This window comes from Homo sapiens, chromosome 1 (genome assembly GCF_000001405.40).
Source record: "Homo sapiens chromosome 1, GRCh38.p14 Primary Assembly".
In the NCBI taxonomy this organism is placed as follows: Eukaryota; Metazoa; Chordata; class Mammalia; order Primates; family Hominidae; genus Homo; species Homo sapiens.
Genome location: NC_000001.11, coordinates 220,122,854 through 220,143,577, shown reverse-complemented (window position 1 = coordinate 220,143,577; position 20,724 = coordinate 220,122,854). Strand labels below are relative to the sequence as shown.

At 39.4% G+C, this 20,724-nt stretch overlaps 1 protein-coding gene and 1 non-coding gene across 2 annotated transcripts in view; both read right to left on the bottom strand.

The window, feature by feature from the left end:
• IARS2 (isoleucyl-tRNA synthetase 2, mitochondrial) overlaps positions 1-20,724 on the bottom strand; it is a 53,910-nt gene that overhangs the window by 4,464 nt on the left and 28,722 nt on the right. The window contains exons 13-21 of the mRNA NM_018060.4: positions 18,239-18,341; positions 16,735-16,828; positions 9,068-9,176; positions 6,667-6,769; positions 5,535-5,660; positions 4,439-4,570; positions 3,289-3,395; positions 1,630-1,775; positions 444-634 (exon numbers count right to left, since the gene is read on the bottom strand). Of these exons, the coding sequence (NP_060530.3) occupies positions 444-634; positions 1,630-1,775; positions 3,289-3,395; positions 4,439-4,570; positions 5,535-5,660; positions 6,667-6,769; positions 9,068-9,176; positions 16,735-16,828; positions 18,239-18,341 (1,111 nt within the window). The remainder of the gene's footprint in view (positions 1-443; positions 635-1,629; positions 1,776-3,288; positions 3,396-4,438; positions 4,571-5,534; positions 5,661-6,666; positions 6,770-9,067; positions 9,177-16,734; positions 16,829-18,238; positions 18,342-20,724) is intronic.
• On the bottom strand, positions 6,312-6,414 carry LOC124904824 (small nucleolar RNA U13). Its single transcript, XR_007067420.1, has one exon. It is a non-coding gene; the product is annotated as a small nucleolar RNA U13 (small nucleolar RNA).

Sequence of the window (20,724 nt, the reverse complement as noted above, 5' to 3'; positions counted from 1 at the left end):
TTTATATGTCCCCTGTCTTCTAAATAGTCCTGAGGCCTTTTGTTTGAAACAGAACTTTATCTATTCCTTCCCTATCCCTACACAGTAATATGTATGTGTTACATGCACAGAACACGTTTTACAAGACATGGAAAAGAATATGGTGAAATAGGAAACAAAAGAATCAGTGATGATATCAGGATTAGAAGACGGAAACCCTAATTTCTAAATTAATTTTTTTTTAATTTAGACACTTTTTTTTAAATGTGCATGACTTTGCTTAATTTATTAAAAGATATTTAAAAGTGAAAAAGTATGTGAAAAGGAACATAATAGAATAATTGCATAGTAAAGTTACACATAACCCAATGTTATTTGATTAATTTAGACACATTTTAAAAGCAAATTTCAGGCAAAGCTCTATGATACTAACACCATTTCAAAAGGTACATATTGCTGCATACCTCTATTATCTCAAAAAGCAGTCCAGGTTCTATCACAGTGATAACCTTGTACTCAGCTGCATTTTTGCCAGGGATGCTTCCAAGAAATGAGTCTCGCATTGCACACGCACTCTCCACAGCTTCTTCCAACCCGGGCTTTTTCCAGATAGAACTAGTACTAATCCACCCAGTACGGAAAACACTCTTGGGCTCTTCAGAAGAACAAAAATAGTAAACTGCTTTACAAACATCCTAAACTGTATATGAAGCTCTAACCATTAAATAGTTACCATTAATGGGAAATAAGAATTGTTATTTATGGTAATCAAGTGATGAAATATTATGGATCCATCCTAATTATTTACAAAACATTTATATCAGCATTGGAAAATCTTTGTTATATTTAAACAAAAGAGAAAATATATAATAAGATCTCAAAGAAAAAAAGGATGCTTAGAAAAAAATAAATAGAAATATCCCAATATTAACAGCTATCAGGAGTAACATTATAAGTGACTTCCCCCTCTTCCTACACTTCTATAGTTTCTAATTTTTATAAACTTAATACAATCAGAAGAAAACAACTAACATAAAACTCACTAAAAGCACTATATTTTGTTTTAATACAACCTAAAATATATTTCAGAACATTTTTTTTGACAGTCTTGCTCTGTCACCCAGGCTGAAGTACAGTGGCATGATCTTGGCTCACTGCAACTTCCACCTCCCGAGTTCAAGCAATTCTCCTGCCTTAGCCTCCCAAGTAGCTGGGACTACAGGCACCCGCCACCACCATGCCCCACTAATTTTTATATTTTTAGTAGAGATGGGGTTTCGCCATGTTGGCCTGGCTAATTTTGAACTCCTGACCTCAAGTGATCTGCCCACCTCGGCCTCCCAAAGTGCTGGGATTACAGGTGTGAGCCACCATGCCAGCCATTTCAGAACAGTTATAAAGGTATTTAAGAAAAAAGGTGATTTCTCGACACTGTCAAGCTGCTAATACATTTCAGAAAGCACAGAATTCTGAAATTTACCCTACTCCTCTACAAATAGGTGCAGAAACAAATACATGACCAAGACACACTGTGTCACACAGCAGTCACTGTAAATGGATAAGTGCCCCTTTTATGAAGCAGATAGAAGTAGAAGTTGCACCTTGATCAGGGATATTTCTCATTAAGAGAATAAATGAAGTATTCCTTACCTTTAATATAAGGTATGTGCTGGAACACCTCTTCAGCCAGGTGAGGAAGAATGGGAGCAAAAGAACGAACTATTACATCCAAAATTTCAACTAATGCAGTCTGACAAGAGCGTCGTTTGGGGTCATTTTCCTTTTCACAATAGAGCCTGAACAAGAACAACTTATTCAGCAGTTGACAATACTTTATACATTATGGTCACCTAGATGGGACCTGCCTCAGGTTGAGTTTATTCCTAGTGGCTAATCCTATGGCTCTAATCATCTTCTACTTAAAGAATACAATACACTCTCCTACAATTTTACTCCGTCCAGGTGTACCCACCTCCTTGAAAGCACTCATGGCTACGCTATCTCATTCTGTTTCTCAGGTGGATGACAACTAGAGTCTAGACTACTGTATTAAAGGACTATGAATAAGTTAGTTGATGGTATTTAACATGTGGCTCCCACCCACTCCAATGTTATTAGTGTTTTAAGGGAAGGAGTAGGAGTTATAATCCCTATGTGCAAGGTCCTTGGGGTGCTGACAGGCTGAGGATAACGCCTCAGACTGGACTCATTACCATGAAGGTAGGACCGTCACCTGCACACTGGAGCAACAGATGAAGACTTGGCATCAAGGCCTCTTCTACAAGGATACTGCTAATATTATACACTGTTACCATATAATTGCACATATATATCTCTCTCTTCCCCTCAGGATTTGAGAACTCCTGAGAACAAGCATTATGTTCATCGTCTGATATTAGTAGTGATGATTTTTTGAACACTTTATCAAGCACAGCTTTAAGCACATTATTGCTTTTCCTTCTCAATCACGAGGTAAGTATTATTATACCCATTTTACAGATGAAGAAACAGATTACAGAATAAGTTGCCCCAAATCAGAAAGCTAGTAAGCGGGAGGTCAAACCTTTATACTCAGACTTGACTCCGGAACCCAATCTTTTTTTTTTTTTTTTTTTGAGACGGAGTCTTGCTCTGTCGCCCAGGCTGAAGTGCAGTGTCACGATCTCGGCTCACTGCAAGCTCTGCCTCCCGGGTTCACGCCATTCTCCTGCCTCAGCCTCCCAAGTAGCTGGAACTACAGGCACCCGCCACCACGCCCAGCTAATTTTTTGTATTTTTAGTAGAGACGGGGTTTCACTGTGTTAGCCAGGATGGTCTCGATCTCCTGACCTCGTGATCCGCCCGCCTCGGCCTCCCAAAGTGCTGGGATTACAGGCGTGAGGCACCACGCCTGGCCCGGAACCCAATCTTAATAACTGCACAACACTGCCCATCTTGCTCATCACTGTATCCCTGACGGTTGCCAAACACAAGTAGACACTCAAAAAATACTTGTTGAGGTTTTGTTGTTGTTATTTTTTGAGACGAGATCTTGCTCTGTCACCCAGGCTGGAGTGCAGCAGCACAATCTCTGCTCATTGCAACCTCCGCCTCCCAAGTTCAAGCGATTCTCGTGCCTCAGTCTCCTGAGTGACTCGGATTACAGGCATGTGCCACCATGCCCGGCTAATTTTTGTATTTTGCCATACTGGTCTCGAACTCCTGGCCTCATGTCATCCACCCGCCTCGGCCTCCCAAAGTGCTGGGATTACAGGCGTGAGTCACCACACCTGGCCATTGTTAAGCATTTTAATATTTAGTCATACATACCTATCTTTGATTATACTGAAATAAAAGTTAGAGAGCTCTCTGGTATAAAACGTCCGTAACAGCCGAACAACTTTTCCAAAATCATATTGTTTGTATAATTCGGTAATCTAGGGAACAAAGCCAAAATAAATTTGGAAGCTGAGACAGGCAAATGAAAATGTAAGTCATCACAAGCAAAATATGCTCCTTTCAAAAATATGTTTCAATGAGACAAATACAAAACAGGCAATATGCAAGAACTCCTGGGAATCTTCCAAATGTCATTTCTGGATAACACATTTGACTACACTCAGAAAATACTATTTTACTCTGAGAACTACGAAAGGACATTAATTAAGGAAAGAATGAGATTGTAAATAACAAAATCACACCATTTTAACAACAGCAAACAGTGGACGTCACCAACAATTCATTAGTGTTCCTTCATTTATGCCTCATTTATTTTTGATTTGGGCAAAATTGGTATGTACACCTCTGACTTAAGGGTACACTAATGCAAACACATTTCCAATTATGAGAAAACACAATTTTTTTTTTTTAAGACAGGGTCTCACTCTGTCAACCAGGCTGGAGTGCAGTGGCACAATCACAGCTCACTGCAGCCTCAAAACCATGGGCTCAAGCGATTCTCCTGCCTCAGCCTCCCAAGGAGCTGGGACTACATGCACTGGCTAACACGCCTGGCTAATTTTTAAAATTTTTCTAGAGATAGGTTCCTGCTCTGTTGCCCAGGCTGGTCTTGAACACCTGGCCTCAAGCAATCCTCCCACCTCGGCCTCCCAAAGTAGTAGGATTTATAGGTGTGAGTTTCCACACCCAGCCAGAAAACAGAAATTATTTAAGTCTATATGAAAATGAGTAAGTATCTTATGAGACAAATAGGATAGTCCATTTTGGTTATTTCTGTACTTTATTATGAGGAGCACATGTGCAGATAAAGTATAACTCCACTTTATTCCTTCTTGTTGGAAAAATAGAGCTAATCATGAGAGAAAAATCTGGTCCGAGGGGAAGTCTGGACATATTTCTCTTCAAGAGTGCTATAGTTACTATTTCCAGCAAGGTCTGTTCCACTCAGATAAAACTAAAATTTTAACCTACAATAGTGCTGATATTTCTAGTTTCCAAAAGTTTATTAATTTACATTTACCTTGTTTGCCAAATCCTGCAGTAAGTGTAGCATGTACTGGTCTATGACATACATATCGTTTACAGGGATGGAATCTGTTTCTGGGTTGAAATCAGCCACATTTCCCAAAAGAAAGCGAAGTGTATTCCTAAGCTATTCATAGGAAGAAAAAATATGCAGTTAAAAAAATCTAATGGTGCCTTCAATTTTCACTGAAAAGTTATTTTATTACTAACTCTTGTCATTTTCTTAGTGGGGTATTTTTATTATCATTCCAAATAAGACTACAAATGTAAAAAAATAAAAAACAAAAAGTACACAACAAACTCTTATTCCAATAGCCCAGTTATAGGAACAACCACTGGATTTTACGCCTAACGACTGAATTTTCATTATATTTCTTTATTACGTTGGGGCAAATCACCTTTCAGTAGCCCAGTTTATTCATGTGTGTGGGTCAGAATAATGTTATTTCACTTGCTTCACAATGAAATAAAGATACATGGAAAAATGTGAAAGGTTATTGAGTACATAAAAGTATACAAAATTAATATAATCTATACTATGCTATATTACATTTTATATATTAATAAAATATAAAGGATATTATATACAAATTATATAAAATTACTGGTATTACTACCAATGTTTTGAAACAAATAAATTTACACAGGAGTTTTTTGTTTTTTTTGAGACAAGGTCTTGCTCTGTCGCCAGGCTGGAGTCCAGTGGCGCGATCTCGGCTCACTGCAACCTCCGCCTCCTGCGTTCAAGTGATTCTCCTGCCTCAGCCTCCCGAACAGCTGGGACTACAGGTGCATGCCACCATGCCCAGCTAATTTTTGTATTTTTAGTAGAGACAGGGTTTCACTATGTTGGCCAGGCTAGTCTCGAACTCCTGACCTCGTGATCCACCTGCCTCTGCCTCCAAAAGTGCTGGGATTACAGGCATGAGCCACCATGCCTGGCCAACACAGGAGATTCTTAAAATCTCACAATAAATGAAGAACTCGTTTTCATTCAGTTTTTTTCAGTTCCAAACAAAATGTGTCTCATTTTTTAAAACAATGATTTGACAAACTTGTCCTTTAGAAATAGGAAGAATAATAGTTCTAACCTTGCTAATATCATCTCTGGCAGCATTGAGCACGGATGGGCCAATTGCAACTTCGGTGAAGACATTGGAATCAGCTACCCACCAGCGAAGGACATCAGCACCATACGGAGGCTCTTTGCTTTGATCCTTTTCATTGAGAAAAAAATATATAAACACAATGGCTTTCAATTCCAATTAGCCGAACAAATGTTTTAGGTAAAGCTCCTATTCAGATATTTTTGAGCACAATGTAAGTACAAACTATACTAGCACTGTAATGAAATGCGGGCTAACAATCTCAAATTAGACTGTATCTAAAAACAAAACTGGAAAAAGAAAGAGCGTGCTCTGCAATCTTGTTCAATGCACAAATGCTCATACCTAATCTCTTCCCTGGTCATGTCTGTTTCCTCTATTACAGCTGGTGGTTAGACACACAGCAGTGCCAGGGAGGTCTCTATAATAAGGGAGGGGAAGAGGAAGGACTGCTTTTCCTTTCACTATTTCCTAGCAACTCTGTACACAAAACAATGAACGGTTACAGGATGTTAGGCGGGCAGTAAAAAGCTACAGGAGTTAAAAAATAGAAAAAAACAGACAAATGATTTAATTCACAAAAGCAGCTCCAAAAACCCCCCCAAATTATCAGCAACCTCAGATTTGATGTACATTTAGGACCTGCTTTAAAGTGTATAATTTTCAACAATATAATAATGAAATGCGCATTTTGAAGTTGCAATCTCATTTTTCATCATTTCCATTTAACTACACAATCACACTTTACATATTCTTTTTTCACTTCAGACAGCAATGTGCCAACACTGTAACAAGGTTTGAGGGAGGCACACCTCACACAATAGTGCGAAAACCCAATCATCACGCTTACGAATCACAAAAGGATCTACACATTTTAAAGGCTCTCAGACAATTAAAAAAGAAACAGCGTGGTTTGGGACCTAACTGGAGAGTCAGGCCTGAAATAAGTTAAAAGGACCACAATCCCAGCCTCTGCCTTCTTCATTACAATCATGTGTTATTTGAGAGTATAAAAGATAGTTTTTATTTTTACATTGAAGTAACTATATTAAGGGCTTTGGCTGCCAATTTAAGATCCTTAAAACGAAAATAAAATACATTTTAGAGAATCACCTACTTGTCCTCCATTAACGACAACATCAGGATGAATGACATTCCCAAGAGACTTGGACATCTTTTCTCCCTTTTCTCCAAGGGTAAATCCATGAACAATCACTGTCCTAAAGGGACAAATCAGCTATTTTAATGATAAACACAATTATAATTATCTTTTTGAAGATTAGGTACAGCTTAAAAAGAGTATCTAAGTTTGACACAAAAATATGATTTTTCTTGACTGATTATGAATAAAACCTTTTCTTTTCTTTTCTTCTCTTTTTTTTTTTTTTTTTTTTGAGATGGAGTCTCACTCTTGTTGCCCAGGCTGCAGTGCAGTGGCATGATGTCGGCTCACTGCAACCTCTGCCTTCCAGGTTCAAGGGATTCTCCTACCTACGCCTGACCTCAGGGGATCCACCTAACTCGGCCTCCCAAAGTGCTGGAATTACAGGTATGAGCCACCCTGCCCGGCCGAAACCTTTCCTTAAAAGTCAAATTCGGCTGGGTGCAGTGGCTCACGCCTGTAATCCCAACACTCTGGGAGGCCAAGGCAGGCAGATCACTTGAGGCCAGGAGCTCGAGGCCAGCCTGGCCAACATGGTGAAACCCTGTCTCCACTAAAAATACAAAAATTAGCTGGGTATAGTGGTGTGTGCCAGTAGTCCCAGATACTTGGGAGGCTGAGGCATGAGAATCACTTGAACCCAAGAGGCGGAGATTGCAGTGAGCTGAGATCGTTCCACTGCACTCCAGCCTGGGAGACAGAGTAAGACTCCATCTCAAACAAAAAAAGTCATTCTTAGCTCATGTATCACAATAGTCAAACAGTTAACTCTCGACTTACACAAAGGAAAACTTTAGATATTTTCATCACTAAACAGATTATTTTCTGAGCTTCTGCTATGTACTGATTTTATCATTAAAACTAACCAGGTTAGAAAGAGCAAACTACAGAGACAGCAAGGAGATCAGTGGTTGCCAGGGGCCCTGGGGTGGGAGTGGAGATTAGTCACAAATGGGCATGAGAAAACTTTTTAGTGTGTTGGAAATGTTATAAAACCTCTTGTGGTGATAGCGGAAAAACTATATAACTCACTAAAAAAAAAAAAAAAAAAAAATTTTAAATGAAAAAATAAAACCAGGAAAAAGTATGTCTTAAAAAGAGCAGATTATCATCTCAAAATTATTTTCAAAAGACAATTTGAAAAAAATAGGATCTGCCCTTTTACTGGTCTTTAAAACGCATGTTAAGAAACAAAAACATGTAAAAGGGCCAGGCGTGGGGGCTCACGCCTGTAATCCCAGCACTTTGGGAGGCTCAGGAGGGTGAATCCCTTGAGAGCAGGAGTTTGAGACCAGCCTCACCAACATGGTGAAATCCCGTCTCTATTAAAAGTACAAAAATTAGCCGGGCATGGTGGCATGCTCCGTAATTCCAGCTACTCGAGAGGCTGAGGCAGGAGAATCGCTTGAACCCGGGAGACAGAGGCTGCAGTGAGCCAAGATCGCACCACTGCACTCCAGCCTAGGCAATAGAACAAGACTCCATCTCAAAAAAAAAAGAAACATGTGAAATGTTCTGGGATGGGTTTTTATCCTAAGAGAGCCACAATCTTAAGCTAAGCTATTTAGGAATCTTTCTGATTAGTACTTTCACCCACACGTTTGAAAAAGTAATTATGTGTACTAAATGAGAATACCTAATTTAATAAAATTCATGAAAGCAATGTTTCAGTTCACTAGCCACTGTGGATATTACAAATATAAAGGACATCTGCACTCAGGCTGTCTTCTCTCAACCTTGAATATCCTTCCCTACATTCCTCCTAGTCAAGTTTTACCATAGATCAAGATCTAGTTCTAGGCCAGGCATGGTGGCTCACGCCTATAATCCTACCACTTTGGGAGGCCAAGGCAGGAGGACTGCTTCAGGCCAGGAGTTTGGGACCAGCATGGGCAATGGGAGGAGAACGCACCTCTAAAAAAAAATTAAAAATTAGCCAGGTGTGGTGGTGCATGTCTGTAATCCCAGCTACTCAGGAGGCTGAAGCAGGAGGATTGCTTGAGCCAAGGAGACGGAGGCTGCAGCGAGCTCTGACCACACCATTGCACTCCAGCCTGGGTGACTGAATGCGATCCTTTTTCAAAAAAAAAAAAAAAAACAACAACAACAAAGAACTACATAAGTTCCCCCAACTACTCCAGTCAATGCTGACTTTTTCTTCAAAGAGTTATGATCTGCATCACACTCACAAGACACCTTGGTGTTGTCTCCTTTTTCCTTTCTCTTTTTTTACTTCAAATTCTTACAGGACACTGTAAGCAATCAAGAGTGGTGCCTTATCATCTCTGTAGTACTCAGCATAGTGCTTCACACACTGGCAGGTACTCAGCAGGTTGGTTCAGGCATAAATACTTACTTATAAGGTGCTCTCTTCCTTGCTGCCACACTTGTTAATAAGGATGACTGAAACCAACCCCCGAGCTGGTCTTTTCCTTCCAAGTACAAATCTGCTCTTTGGTCAGGACCTCAAAATTAAGTATTAAAAGAAAAAAAAACCCAGAAATTTAAGTTAATTAAAATAGAAAAAGAAGATACTTATTAATAACAATTAGTGGGGAGGAAGGGAAGTAACTTTACAATAGAGAAAACTGACAGATGCCACCTTAACCAAGAAAGTGACCAAAGTTACACATCACCAGTAGTAATGGGACAGAGATGTATCACGTGACTTCTGAAATGATGTACTGAAATAAACACAGTATCCTTTCTGTGATATTCCTACCTAAAATGCATAACGTGGATCTAATCATGACAATGCATCCCACAAACCCAGAGAGACCATCTACAAAATAAACCTGTACTGCATGAATGTCAAGCAATGTCATGAAATGTCATGAAAGACACAGAACAAGAACTAGAGAGACATGACAGTTAAATGTGACATGTGATCTCAGATTAGATCTTGGGTCCTTTTTTTTTTTTCCTCTTTCCACCTAGGAATAAGTTCTATAGACAGTTAACAGTATGGAATCAATGTTAATTCCCTAATTTTGATATCTGTGTTGGTTATGTTAAGAGACTATCCATGTTTTGGGGAAATATATACTAAAATATTGAGATAAAAGATGCATCTTTTCCTCTACATATATATACATAGGATATATAAAGCAACTGTAGCAAAATGTTAATGTTAACGTTGGGAAATCTAGATGAAGAGCATGCTGTAATTCTTCATGATACTTTATGACTTTTCAAAATAAAAGGGTTTTCAAAAAAAAGTAACATGAGGTCGTTGATAAAGATTACATCTATATTTTAAATCTAAACTCACAACTCTCAAAGCCCCCATAATCCCTTTTATTTGTAAAATTATGATTTGTCCTTATGTCCTAAGACTGAAAATTTAGTGTTGTAATCTTCATGTAAGAAAGATTAACTGAGTGGAGGTGGGGAAACAAAATTTAAATAACTGAATCAAACCAATTCAATTGCACCAATATTACTGAGCACTTGTTATATAGCAGGCATTGTGTTAGACCCTGGGGAAATCTGGACTCTGCCTTCTTGGAGCTGACACCTAGTAGGGTAGATTTTATGTTAAGCAAGAAATAACTGTGATGGGGCCGGGTGCAGTGTCTCGTGCCTGTAACCCCAGCCCTTTGAGAGGTGGAGGCTGGCAAATCCTGAGGTCAGGAGTTCGAGACCAGGTTGACCAACATGGCGAAACCCCATCTCTAAAAACACGAAAATTATCTGGGCACGGTGGTGGGCGCCTGTAATCCCAGCTACTTGGGAGGCTGAAGCAGGAGAATCACTTGAACCTGGGAGGTGGAGGTTACAGTGGGCAGAGATTGTGCCACTGCACTCTAGCCTGGGCGACAGAGTAAGAATCTGTCTCAAAAAAAAAAAAGAAAAGAAATAACTGTGATGGGTGTTACCAAGGGGAAAATAAAGAGTTTAATCTAGTCTGTGCAGCCAGGAAAGTCTGAGATAATGTAAGAAGGTAAATGCATATGCAGTGAAAACAAATCTTTAGCTAGACTAAGAAAATAGAAAAGAAGATCCAAATAAACAAAATCAGAAATGAAAAAGGAGACATGGGGCTGGGTGCGGTGGCTCACGCCTGTAAAATCCCAGAACTTTGGGAGGCAAAGGCGGGTGGATCACGAGGTCAGGAGTTCAAGACCAGCCTGGCCAAGATGGTGAAACCCCATCTCTACTAAAAACGCAAACATTAGCCAGGCATGGTGGCGGGCACCTGTAACCCCAGCTACTTGGGAGGAATGAGGCAGAGAACTGCTTGAACCTGGGAGGTGGAGTTTGCAGTGAGATGAGATCAGGCCACTGCACTCCAGTCTGGGCAACAGAGCAAGACTCCATCTCAAAAAAAAAAAAAAAAAAGAGAGAGAAAGGTGACATACAACAGACAACAGAGAAATACAAAGGATCATCACAGACTACTATAAACAAATGTACACTAACACATAGGAAAACCTGGAGGAAATGGATAAACCCCTGGACACATACAACCTACCAAGATTAAACCGGGAAGAAATAGAACAGTAAGGAGTAACCGGACTGAATAAGTAACAAAAAATCTCCCAACAAAGAAAAGTCTAGGACCAGATGGCTTTACTGCTGAATTCTACCAAATATATAAAGAACAACAATTCTGCTCAAACTACTCCAGAGCATCGAAGAGGAGGAAACTCTTCTTAAATCACTGTACAAAGCCAGCATTACCCTGATACCAAAACCAGGCAAAGACACAACAAAAAAGAAAACTACAGGCCAGTATCTCTGTTGAACAAAGACACAAAAATCCTCAACAGGCCACTTGCGGTAGCTCATGCCTGTAATACCAACACTTTGGGAGGCCAAGGCAGGTGGATCATGAGGTCAGGAGATCGAGACCATCCTGGCTAACATGGTGAAACCCGTCTCTACTAAAAATACAAAAAATTAGCCAGGCATGGTGGTGGATGCCTGTAGTCGCAGCTACTCGGGAGGCTGAGGCAGGAGAATTGCTTGAACCTAGGAGGCGGGGGTTGCAGTGAGCTGAGATCGTGCCATTGCACTCCAGCCTAGGCAACAGAGTGAGACTCCATCTCAAAAAAAAAAAAAAAAAAAAAATTCAACGTGGCCAGGCATCGTGGCTCATGCCTGTAATCCCAGCACTTTGGGAGGCTGAGCAGCGCTGATCCCTTGAGGTCAGGAGTTCGAGACCAGCCTGGCCAACATGGTGAAACCCCATCTCTATTAAAAATATAAAAATTGCTGGGCAGAGTGGCTCACGCCTGTAATCCCAGCACTTTGGGAGGCTTAGGCGGACAGATCGCCTGAGGTGGGGAGTTCTGAGTCCAGCCTGACCAACATGGAGAAACCCCGTCTCTACTAAAAATACAAAATTTGCTGGGCGTGATGGCTCATGCCTGTAGTCACAGCTACTTGGGAAGCTGAGGCAGGAGAATCGCTTGAACCCGAGAGGTGGAGGTTGCAGTGAGCCCAGGTCACGCCATTGCACTCCAGCCTGGGCAATAAGAGTGAAACTCCATCTCAAAAAAATTAATTAATTAATTAAAATTAACCGAGTGTGGTGGCACATGACTATAATCCCAGCTACTCTGGAGGCTCAGGCAGGAGAATCACTAGAACTCGGGAGGCGGAGGTTGCAGTGAGCCGAGACTGTGCCACTGCACTCCAGCCTGGGCGACACAGCGAGACTCTGTCTCAAATAAATAAATAAATAAATAAAGATTCAATGCAATTCCATGCAAAATACCAATGATATTCTTCACAGAAACAGAAAAATTCATATGGAAAATTCATCCTAAAATTCATAAGGAAACACAAAAGCCTCCCAAATAGTCAAAGCAATACTGAGCAAAAAGCACAAAGCTGGAGGCATCACACTGCCCAACTTCAAAATATACTGCAAAGTTACAGTAAAAACGCATGGTGTTGGTATAAAAACAGACACTTAGACCAATGGGACAGAATAGAGAACCCAGAAATAAATCTACCAGTTTATTGCCAACTGATTTCCAACAAAGGCACCAGGAACATACAGTGGGAAAAGGACACCCTCTTTAAGAAATGGTGCTGGAAAAACTGGCTATCCATGTGCAGAAGAATGAAAATAAACCCCTACCCCATCCTGGCTAACATGGTGAAACCCCGTCCCTACTAAAAATACAAAAAATTAGCCAGGCGTGGTGGCAGGTGCCTGTAGTCCCAGCTACTCGGGAGGCTGGGGCAGGAGAATGGCGTGAACCCAGGAGGCGGAGCTTGCAGTGAGCCAAGATCGTGCCACTGCACTCCAGCCTGGGCGACAGAGCGAGACTCTGTCTCAAAAAAAGAAAGAAAGAAAATAGACCCCTACCTCTCACCATATACAAAAATCAACTCAAAAGAGAGACTTAAATCTAAGGCCCCCAACTATGAAACTACTAGAGGAAAACACAGGAGAAATCCTCCAGGACATCGGTCTAGGCAAAAATGTTATGGCTAAGACTTCAAAAGCACAAGTAAAGGAGCGAAAATAGACAAATGGAACTATATTAAGAAAAAGCTGCAGCACACAAAGGAAACAACACAGTGAAGAGACAACCTGTGGAATGGAAGAAAATCTTTGCAAACTATTTGTCTGACAAGAAACTGATATTCAGATTATAAAGGAATTCAAATAAAGAAACAGCAAAAACAAGAAACAACAAAAAAAACCTCATTACAAAGTGGGCAAAGGGTCTGAACAGACATTTCTCAAAGGATGTCATATGAATGGACAACAGGTATATGAAAAAATGTTCAACATCACTAATCATCAGGGAAGTGCAAATCAAAACCACAGTGATATATCATCTTACCCCAGTTAGCCCAGAATGGCTATTATCAAAAAGAAAGTAACAAATGATGGCAAGGATGTGGAGAGAATGGAACTATTATACACTGTTGGTGGGAATGTAAATTAGTACAGTCATTATAAAAAACATTATGGAGGTTTCTTTTCAAAAAACTAAAAACAGAACTACCATATAAGCCAGCAATCCCACTACTAGGTATTTATGCAAAGGAAATAAAATCAGCATATCCACAGGATACCTGCATCTCCATGTTTATTACAACACTACTCACAATAGCCAAGATATGGAACCAGTCTAACTATCCATCAAAGATGAATGGATAAAGAAAATGTGATAAATATACACAATGGAATACTATTCAGCCATAAAAAAGAATGAAATTCTGTCATCAGCAGCAACATGGATGGAACTGGAGGTCATGATGGTAAATGAAATAAGCCAAGCATAGAAAGACAAATACTCCATATTTTCACTCATATGTGGGAGCTAAAAAAGTTGATCTTATGGAGGTAGAAAGTAGAATGACAGTTACCAGAGGCTGGGAAGGGTGAGAGGGAGGGATGAAGAGAGTTTGGTCAATGAGGATAGAAAAGGAGTTACATATACGGGATAAATTCTAGTGTTTAATACAGTAGGGTAAATATAGTAACCATTTATTGCATATTTCAAAATAACTAGAAGAGAAGATATAAAATGTTCCCACCACAAAGAAATGGTAAATGTTTGAGATGATAGATATCTTAAATACCCTCATTTGATCATTACATATTAAATGCACCTATCAAAACACTACACGTACTCAATAATATGTACAATTATTATGAATTAATTTAAAATTTTTCTGTTGCAGTGAAAATCATTTGGTTAAGAATATCACACTCTGGACGGGTGCGGTGGCTCACGTCTGTAATCCCAGCACTTTGGGAGCTGAGGCAGATGGATCACTTGAGGCCAGGAGTTTGAGACCAGCCTGGCCAACACGGTGAAACCCCTTCTCTACTAAAAACACAAAAATTAGCTGGGCATGGTGGCACATGCCTGTAATCCCAGCTACTCAGGAGGCAGAGGCAGGAGAGTCACTTGAACTCAAGCTGAGATCGCACCACTGCACTCCATCCTGGGCAACAGAGTGAGACACTGTCTCGAAAAAAAAAAAAAATCACACTCTAGAAATATTATGACTAAACTCTATCAGATAGATTTTAATGCCAGTTTTCATGGATTTTAACCCACTTGACAGCGCCAAATATAACGTGCACTTAACTGCACTGTAAAACCATTTCAGAAACTGAAAAGCAACAATGGTAGCAGCATTAATTCTCACAAAGCCTAAAGCAGTGAATACACTTTGAAATACACTATACCTCACTGTTTCACAATTGGCATACTCTTTTCTGAAATTCAGAATGCTGCCCAAAATGTGCCAGCAGGAAACTCTTCTTCCTACTACCTTAAGTAGTGGTATTGACCTGCATTTTCAATACATAGTCATGCATTGCTTAATAGAGATATGCTCTGAGAAATGTGTCCTTAGGTGATTTCATCACTGTGTGAACATCATAGAGTGTACTTACACAAACCTCAATGGGAGAGCCTACTCTACACCTAGCCAACATGGCATAGTGTTTTTGCTTCTAGGCTACAAACCTGCACAGCATGTTACTATACTGAATACTGCAGGCAATGTCAGCACATGGTATGTATTTGTGTATCTGAACATATCTAAACACAGAAAAGGTACAGTAAAAATACAGTAGTCATCCCTTGATATATGCAGAGGATTGGTTCTAGGACCCACCAACCCCCCAGCCCCCCACCCCCATATGTACCAAAATCTGTGAATACTCAAGTCCCACAGTTGGCCCTGCTGAAACTGCATATATGAAAAGTCGGCCCTCCCTTTCTATATGTGGGTTTCAAATCCTGAGAATACTATATTTTCCATCTGCATTTCATTGAAAAAAATTGCATATAAGTAGACCTGTGCAGTCAGAACCCTGTTGTTCAGGAGTCAGATGTATTATCATCTTGTGGGGCCATCATCATATATGCAGTCTGCTACTGACTGGAGTGTCATTATATAACACATGACTGTAATTTAGGGAAACCAAGTACCTAAACTTGCAGTATTTTCTCTCGAATATGCTGGGAGAAAAATTATGAAATAATAATTCTGAAAATCACTACAAAAAAATTATAAAAATATGTAACTTATATTTGGCCATTATTATTACGCACATTTTACTTGTAATAGAGAGTAAACATGAATTTATATGCATTTTGTTTTTCAAACTTCCTAAGCTGAAAGAAAGGCTTAAATGAAGGAAATAGATCCACCTACTAGGAATCCTATTGTGTGATTCATAGACAAGCTACTTTTCCCACATACCCTTACTCCAGAAAGCAAACAGGGTCTCTCAGGCCAAAGCTGGCCCTTAGTAGGAGTGTGAGGAACTGTGTGATCCATCACTGCCTCCGTGACATCTCATCCCTGTCTCCAACTTCACAGTGATAACAAGCCTTGTTCTTCATTTGAACTCTATCTTTTCACTTAGTTGCCTTAAAAATATTTCTTCTCAAGCATCTAAACACATCCTCTAATATGTGCCTTCTCCTACTACTCCTTTCTAATTCCTGCCCAACGTCTCTCCTTTCTCTTTATCCAATCAGTCAAAAACATTCGCTAATTATCTGTAAGTATAAAGTTAGTCAGCTGTTTGTACAGAGAGGAGAAAAAGCCACAAAAAGCAATGTAGTATAGAAGATGAGAACTGAAAATCAGGGTACTTGCGTTCTAGTTTGACACTACTAAGCTATGTGACCATCACCTAATTTGGCTCTAAGTCAATTTCATTTTCTCTTCTGAAAAATTATGGGGTCAGACTATTTCAGTGACTTCCAAACTTTGTTTTACAAAACTGGGTGCCTTGGGGTTGCCAAGTGGCCAAGGAGAATGAACTGGTTGAAAGGAGGAAAAATATTCCCATGTTTAACTATTTTCTGTATTATAAATTCTAAATGAAATTTCATCTAGAAAAACAGAAAAAGGTTTAGAAATCATTGGATTAAGTAAACTCTAAGGGTCTTTCGAGGTCTAAAATATAGCAGATCTCTAAATAAAGCACACACAGAAAAAGAGTTTGATTATAGATCCCTTCTAAATACCAATTCCATATTTTCAAAACTTCTTGATCGGCATATATCTATTTTTAAGAATTACCTGGAAGAACATAAGACCATGAAGTTCCGCTATCAAACCAGATGTCCAAAATATCCTGACCTGGCACATATTCCAAGGCATCAGGGCCACCAACCTAGTAAGATAATGCAAAAGCATGTCAGGTACACAAAGATCACAATATAGACAACAAATACTGTACCCCAAAAGTCTTCAGAAAATGAAATGCAACCATGAAGTTCACATTTTTAGATGAAATTTACAGTATTTTTAAGCATTTCACAGTTAACTTCAACTCCCTCCATTCACATTTAAAAGTATCTGTGGCCACTGAATTACATATTTACCAATGTAATATGAATTGGTTTTTATTTCCTTGAAATTAACTTTAAATTTGGATATTTTAATGTGTGATACAATCAGCTAACTCTACTACAGATCCTACAAAGGCCTGATGTACCATTAGGCACTGTTCTCTAACAGTAAATTACATGAGCTTAGTCAACCAAATCAGTCAACATCAATCAATCCTGGCCCTCAATGAGATAACAATTGACCCTCACATTCCACTACTTTATTAAATACTACACTTTTTGATTTGTTTTGTTTTTGAGACAGAGTCTTACTCTGTTGCCCAGCCTGGAGTGCAATGGCGCGATCTCGGCTCACTGCAACCTCCGTCTCCTGGGTTCAAGTGATTCTCCTGCCTCGGCCTCCTGAGTAGCTGGGACTAAAGGTATGTTGCGTGGCTTTTTCTTTTTCTTTTTTTTTTTTTTTTTGAGACAGAGTTTCACTCTGTTGCCCAGGCTAGAGTGCAGTGGTGCGATCTCGGCTCACTGCAAGCTCCGCCTCCCGGGTTCAGGCCATTCTCCTGCCTCAGTCTCCCGAGTAGCTGGGACTACAGGCGCCCACCATCGCACCCAGCTAATTTTTTTGTATTTTTAGTAGAGGCAGGGTTTCACTGTATTAGCCAGGATGGTCTCGATCTCCTGACCTTGTGATCTGCCCGCCTCGGCCTCCCAAAGTGCTGGGATTACAGGTGTGCACCACTGCGCCCGACCTAATAATACACTTTGTTTTGCAGGGATGGGCTCTCACTCTGTCACCCAGGCTGCAGTGTAGTGGTGCAATCTTGGCTCGCTGCAACCTGTCTTCCAGGCTCAAGCCATCCTCCCCCCTCAACCTCCCAAGTAGCTGGGACTACAGGCGCATGCCACAATGCTCAGCTAATTTTTATATTTTTTTGTAGAGACAGGGTTTTGCCATATTGCCCAGGCTGGTCTCAAACTCATGGACTCAAGCTATCTGTCTGCCTCAGCCTTTCAAAGTGCTAGGATTACAGGTGTGAGCCATCACGCCCAGCCTTAAATACTACACTTCTATAGTTAAACAAAATGTCTACTTTCACACTGCATTAGCTTCTAATTTACAGTAAATAAATTTGTTAACTTTACATAAGATAATTTTTTAACTCTCAAGAATTTCTCATGTTGTCATTAAGTCCTGTAATACATACAAAGGCTGTTAAATACAAACAGAAATTTACCTCAGATAAGACTTCTTTTGGAAGAAGTTGTTCAGGGGGAAGAGTCCACCAGATATCACTGCCGTGTTGTTCCACTAGTTTAACAATATGCTCAGTGGTTTGGCTATTTCAGGGGGGACATGGCAGAATTATTCAATTAACTATTGTGATGAATAACAAACATTTTAAAATTAAGAAATAGTGATTTATTTTCCTTTTTCCTCAAACCTTAGTTTGAAGAAAAAGCTGCTATCATTTTAAATTCAATATAAATAAAAAATTGATTATACATATCCTTAAAAAGAAAAAACATCTGTTTCCGTTACTGATTTACCTATTTCTTACTCATCTATTTTCTATCCAGGTACTTATACTCAAAGCCTTCTAATTATCTTCCCTCTTCTGATTTCTGCCTAAATTAAACCAACACATTCTCTCAGTTCTACCTTTGAAAGATTACAGTGGTTCCCACTGACACTGTATCAGTCCAACCTCATTCCCTCAAAACTAAACTGATGCAATCAATGGTCTGAGAGTACTTCCTCCTACCCTCATCCCTTTACTTTACAAAACAGACCTTGAAATAGATGCATTCCTAAACTGCTTTTATCACACGAATTCTCTGCTTGAAAACTTTCCAGGACTCCCTCCCTGCTTACAGGCATCTGCACAAGATGCAATGCCATATTAGAGCAGAGACTGTGATGACAGATATCCAGGCTTATATTCTGACTGTCACTTTGTATTTATATGACCATGCACAAGTACTAAAACTTCTTTAAGACCTAGCTTTCCCTTCTGTTAAGAACAATCTAATTCATTGTTCAGAAACTATTGAACACCTCCTGTGTCCTGGGCACAGGCACTAGAGATACAGCAGTTGGCAAAATACACAAGATCCCTCCCCTGGTGAAACTTAACATTGTAGTAATCCTAGACACTTCCCTCAGAACAACTACAAACTAAATGAGACTATACATGTAAAACTTAGTACAGCACCTAACACATGACAGAAAGCCAATCAACCCCTATCAAATAAATAACAGAACTGGTCGTATCTTTAGGAAGATATACAGTAATAAATTATTTAAAAATTAAACTCAGGGAAAAAAATTCATACTATAGTTTCTCACAAAAATAAAATATTTTTGATTTATTAGAATATTGAATTTATTATTGTAGCTTTGTTGCTATTACAGCTTCCTCTAGTTGCTTTTCATTTAGTCACAGTACATATAATGGCCAAGAGCATGGATCCTGCCAGCAGGGGGCTTTAGCTTAATTTCTGGCTCCACCACTTGAACCCAGGCAAGGCACTTAACATTTCTGTGCCTGTTTCCTCATTTGTAAAACACAAATAGTAACAGCATCATGAAGAGACTTCCTATGAATATTAACTGAGTTAATAAATATAAAACACATAGAACAATACCTGGCACATTTGAATAAATACTATGTAAGCATTATTCAAACTGATTATTTGACGTCAGGTCTGGGCCTGATAATTCACAGATAAATGAAGTGTTTACCAAAAATTGTTGTGGAAAGCAAAATCAAATGAGTATAAATTAAATATGCTCTACAGGCCAGGAGCAGTGGCTCACGCCTGTAATCCCAGCACTTTGGGAGGCTGAGGCGGGCGGATCACGAGCTCAGGAGATCGAGACCATCCTGGCTAACACGGTGAAACCCCATCTCTACTAAAAAAAATACAAAAAAATTAGCCGGGCATGGTGGCGGGCGCCTGTAGTCCCAGCTACCTGGGAGGCTGAGGCAGGAGAATGGCGTGAACCCGGGAGGCAGAGCTTGCAGTGAGCTGAGATCGCGCCACTGCACTCCAGCCTGGGTGACAGAGGGAGACTCCGTCTCAAAAAAAATAATAAATAAATAAATATGCTCTACAAATTTAAATTTGAAATACCTTATAAAAGCTGGATATCAGTAAGTTGGTATTCTATGAAGGATAGATTTTAAAAGTATAATGTTACCATCATGTACTTTGAAGAACTTATAATGAGAAAGGAAAATGGGCATAAATGCATGTTTCTAAGACAGTGAATCATTTTAGATGGACTTTAACAGTAAAGATAAACTTTTATGTTATCAGACCATAAAAACCTTATGTAATAACTACCTAGTTATATGACAATAGTATTTAGTTACATATTACTATTTTATATAGTTTGTCCAGAACATTTTCAGTTAAGAAAATATGAATATGGTATAATAGAAAAATCTGAATAAATCTAAAGACCAAAAGAAAAAAAAAACAAAAAGATTACAACCATAAAAGAGAGATACTAGTAAAGTACATTTACATGGACACATACGCACAATTACAATTGATAACACTGTTCATACTAATGAAATTCTCATTAAAAAAGAATAATTCTAAAAATGGGTGTCATTTTGCCTTTTTTTTTTTACAATGTTATCATTAGACTGGCAAGTTTAGGTAAAGAGTAAAATAAAACAGTAAAACAGCTTTAAATGTATTGGAAAAAGAC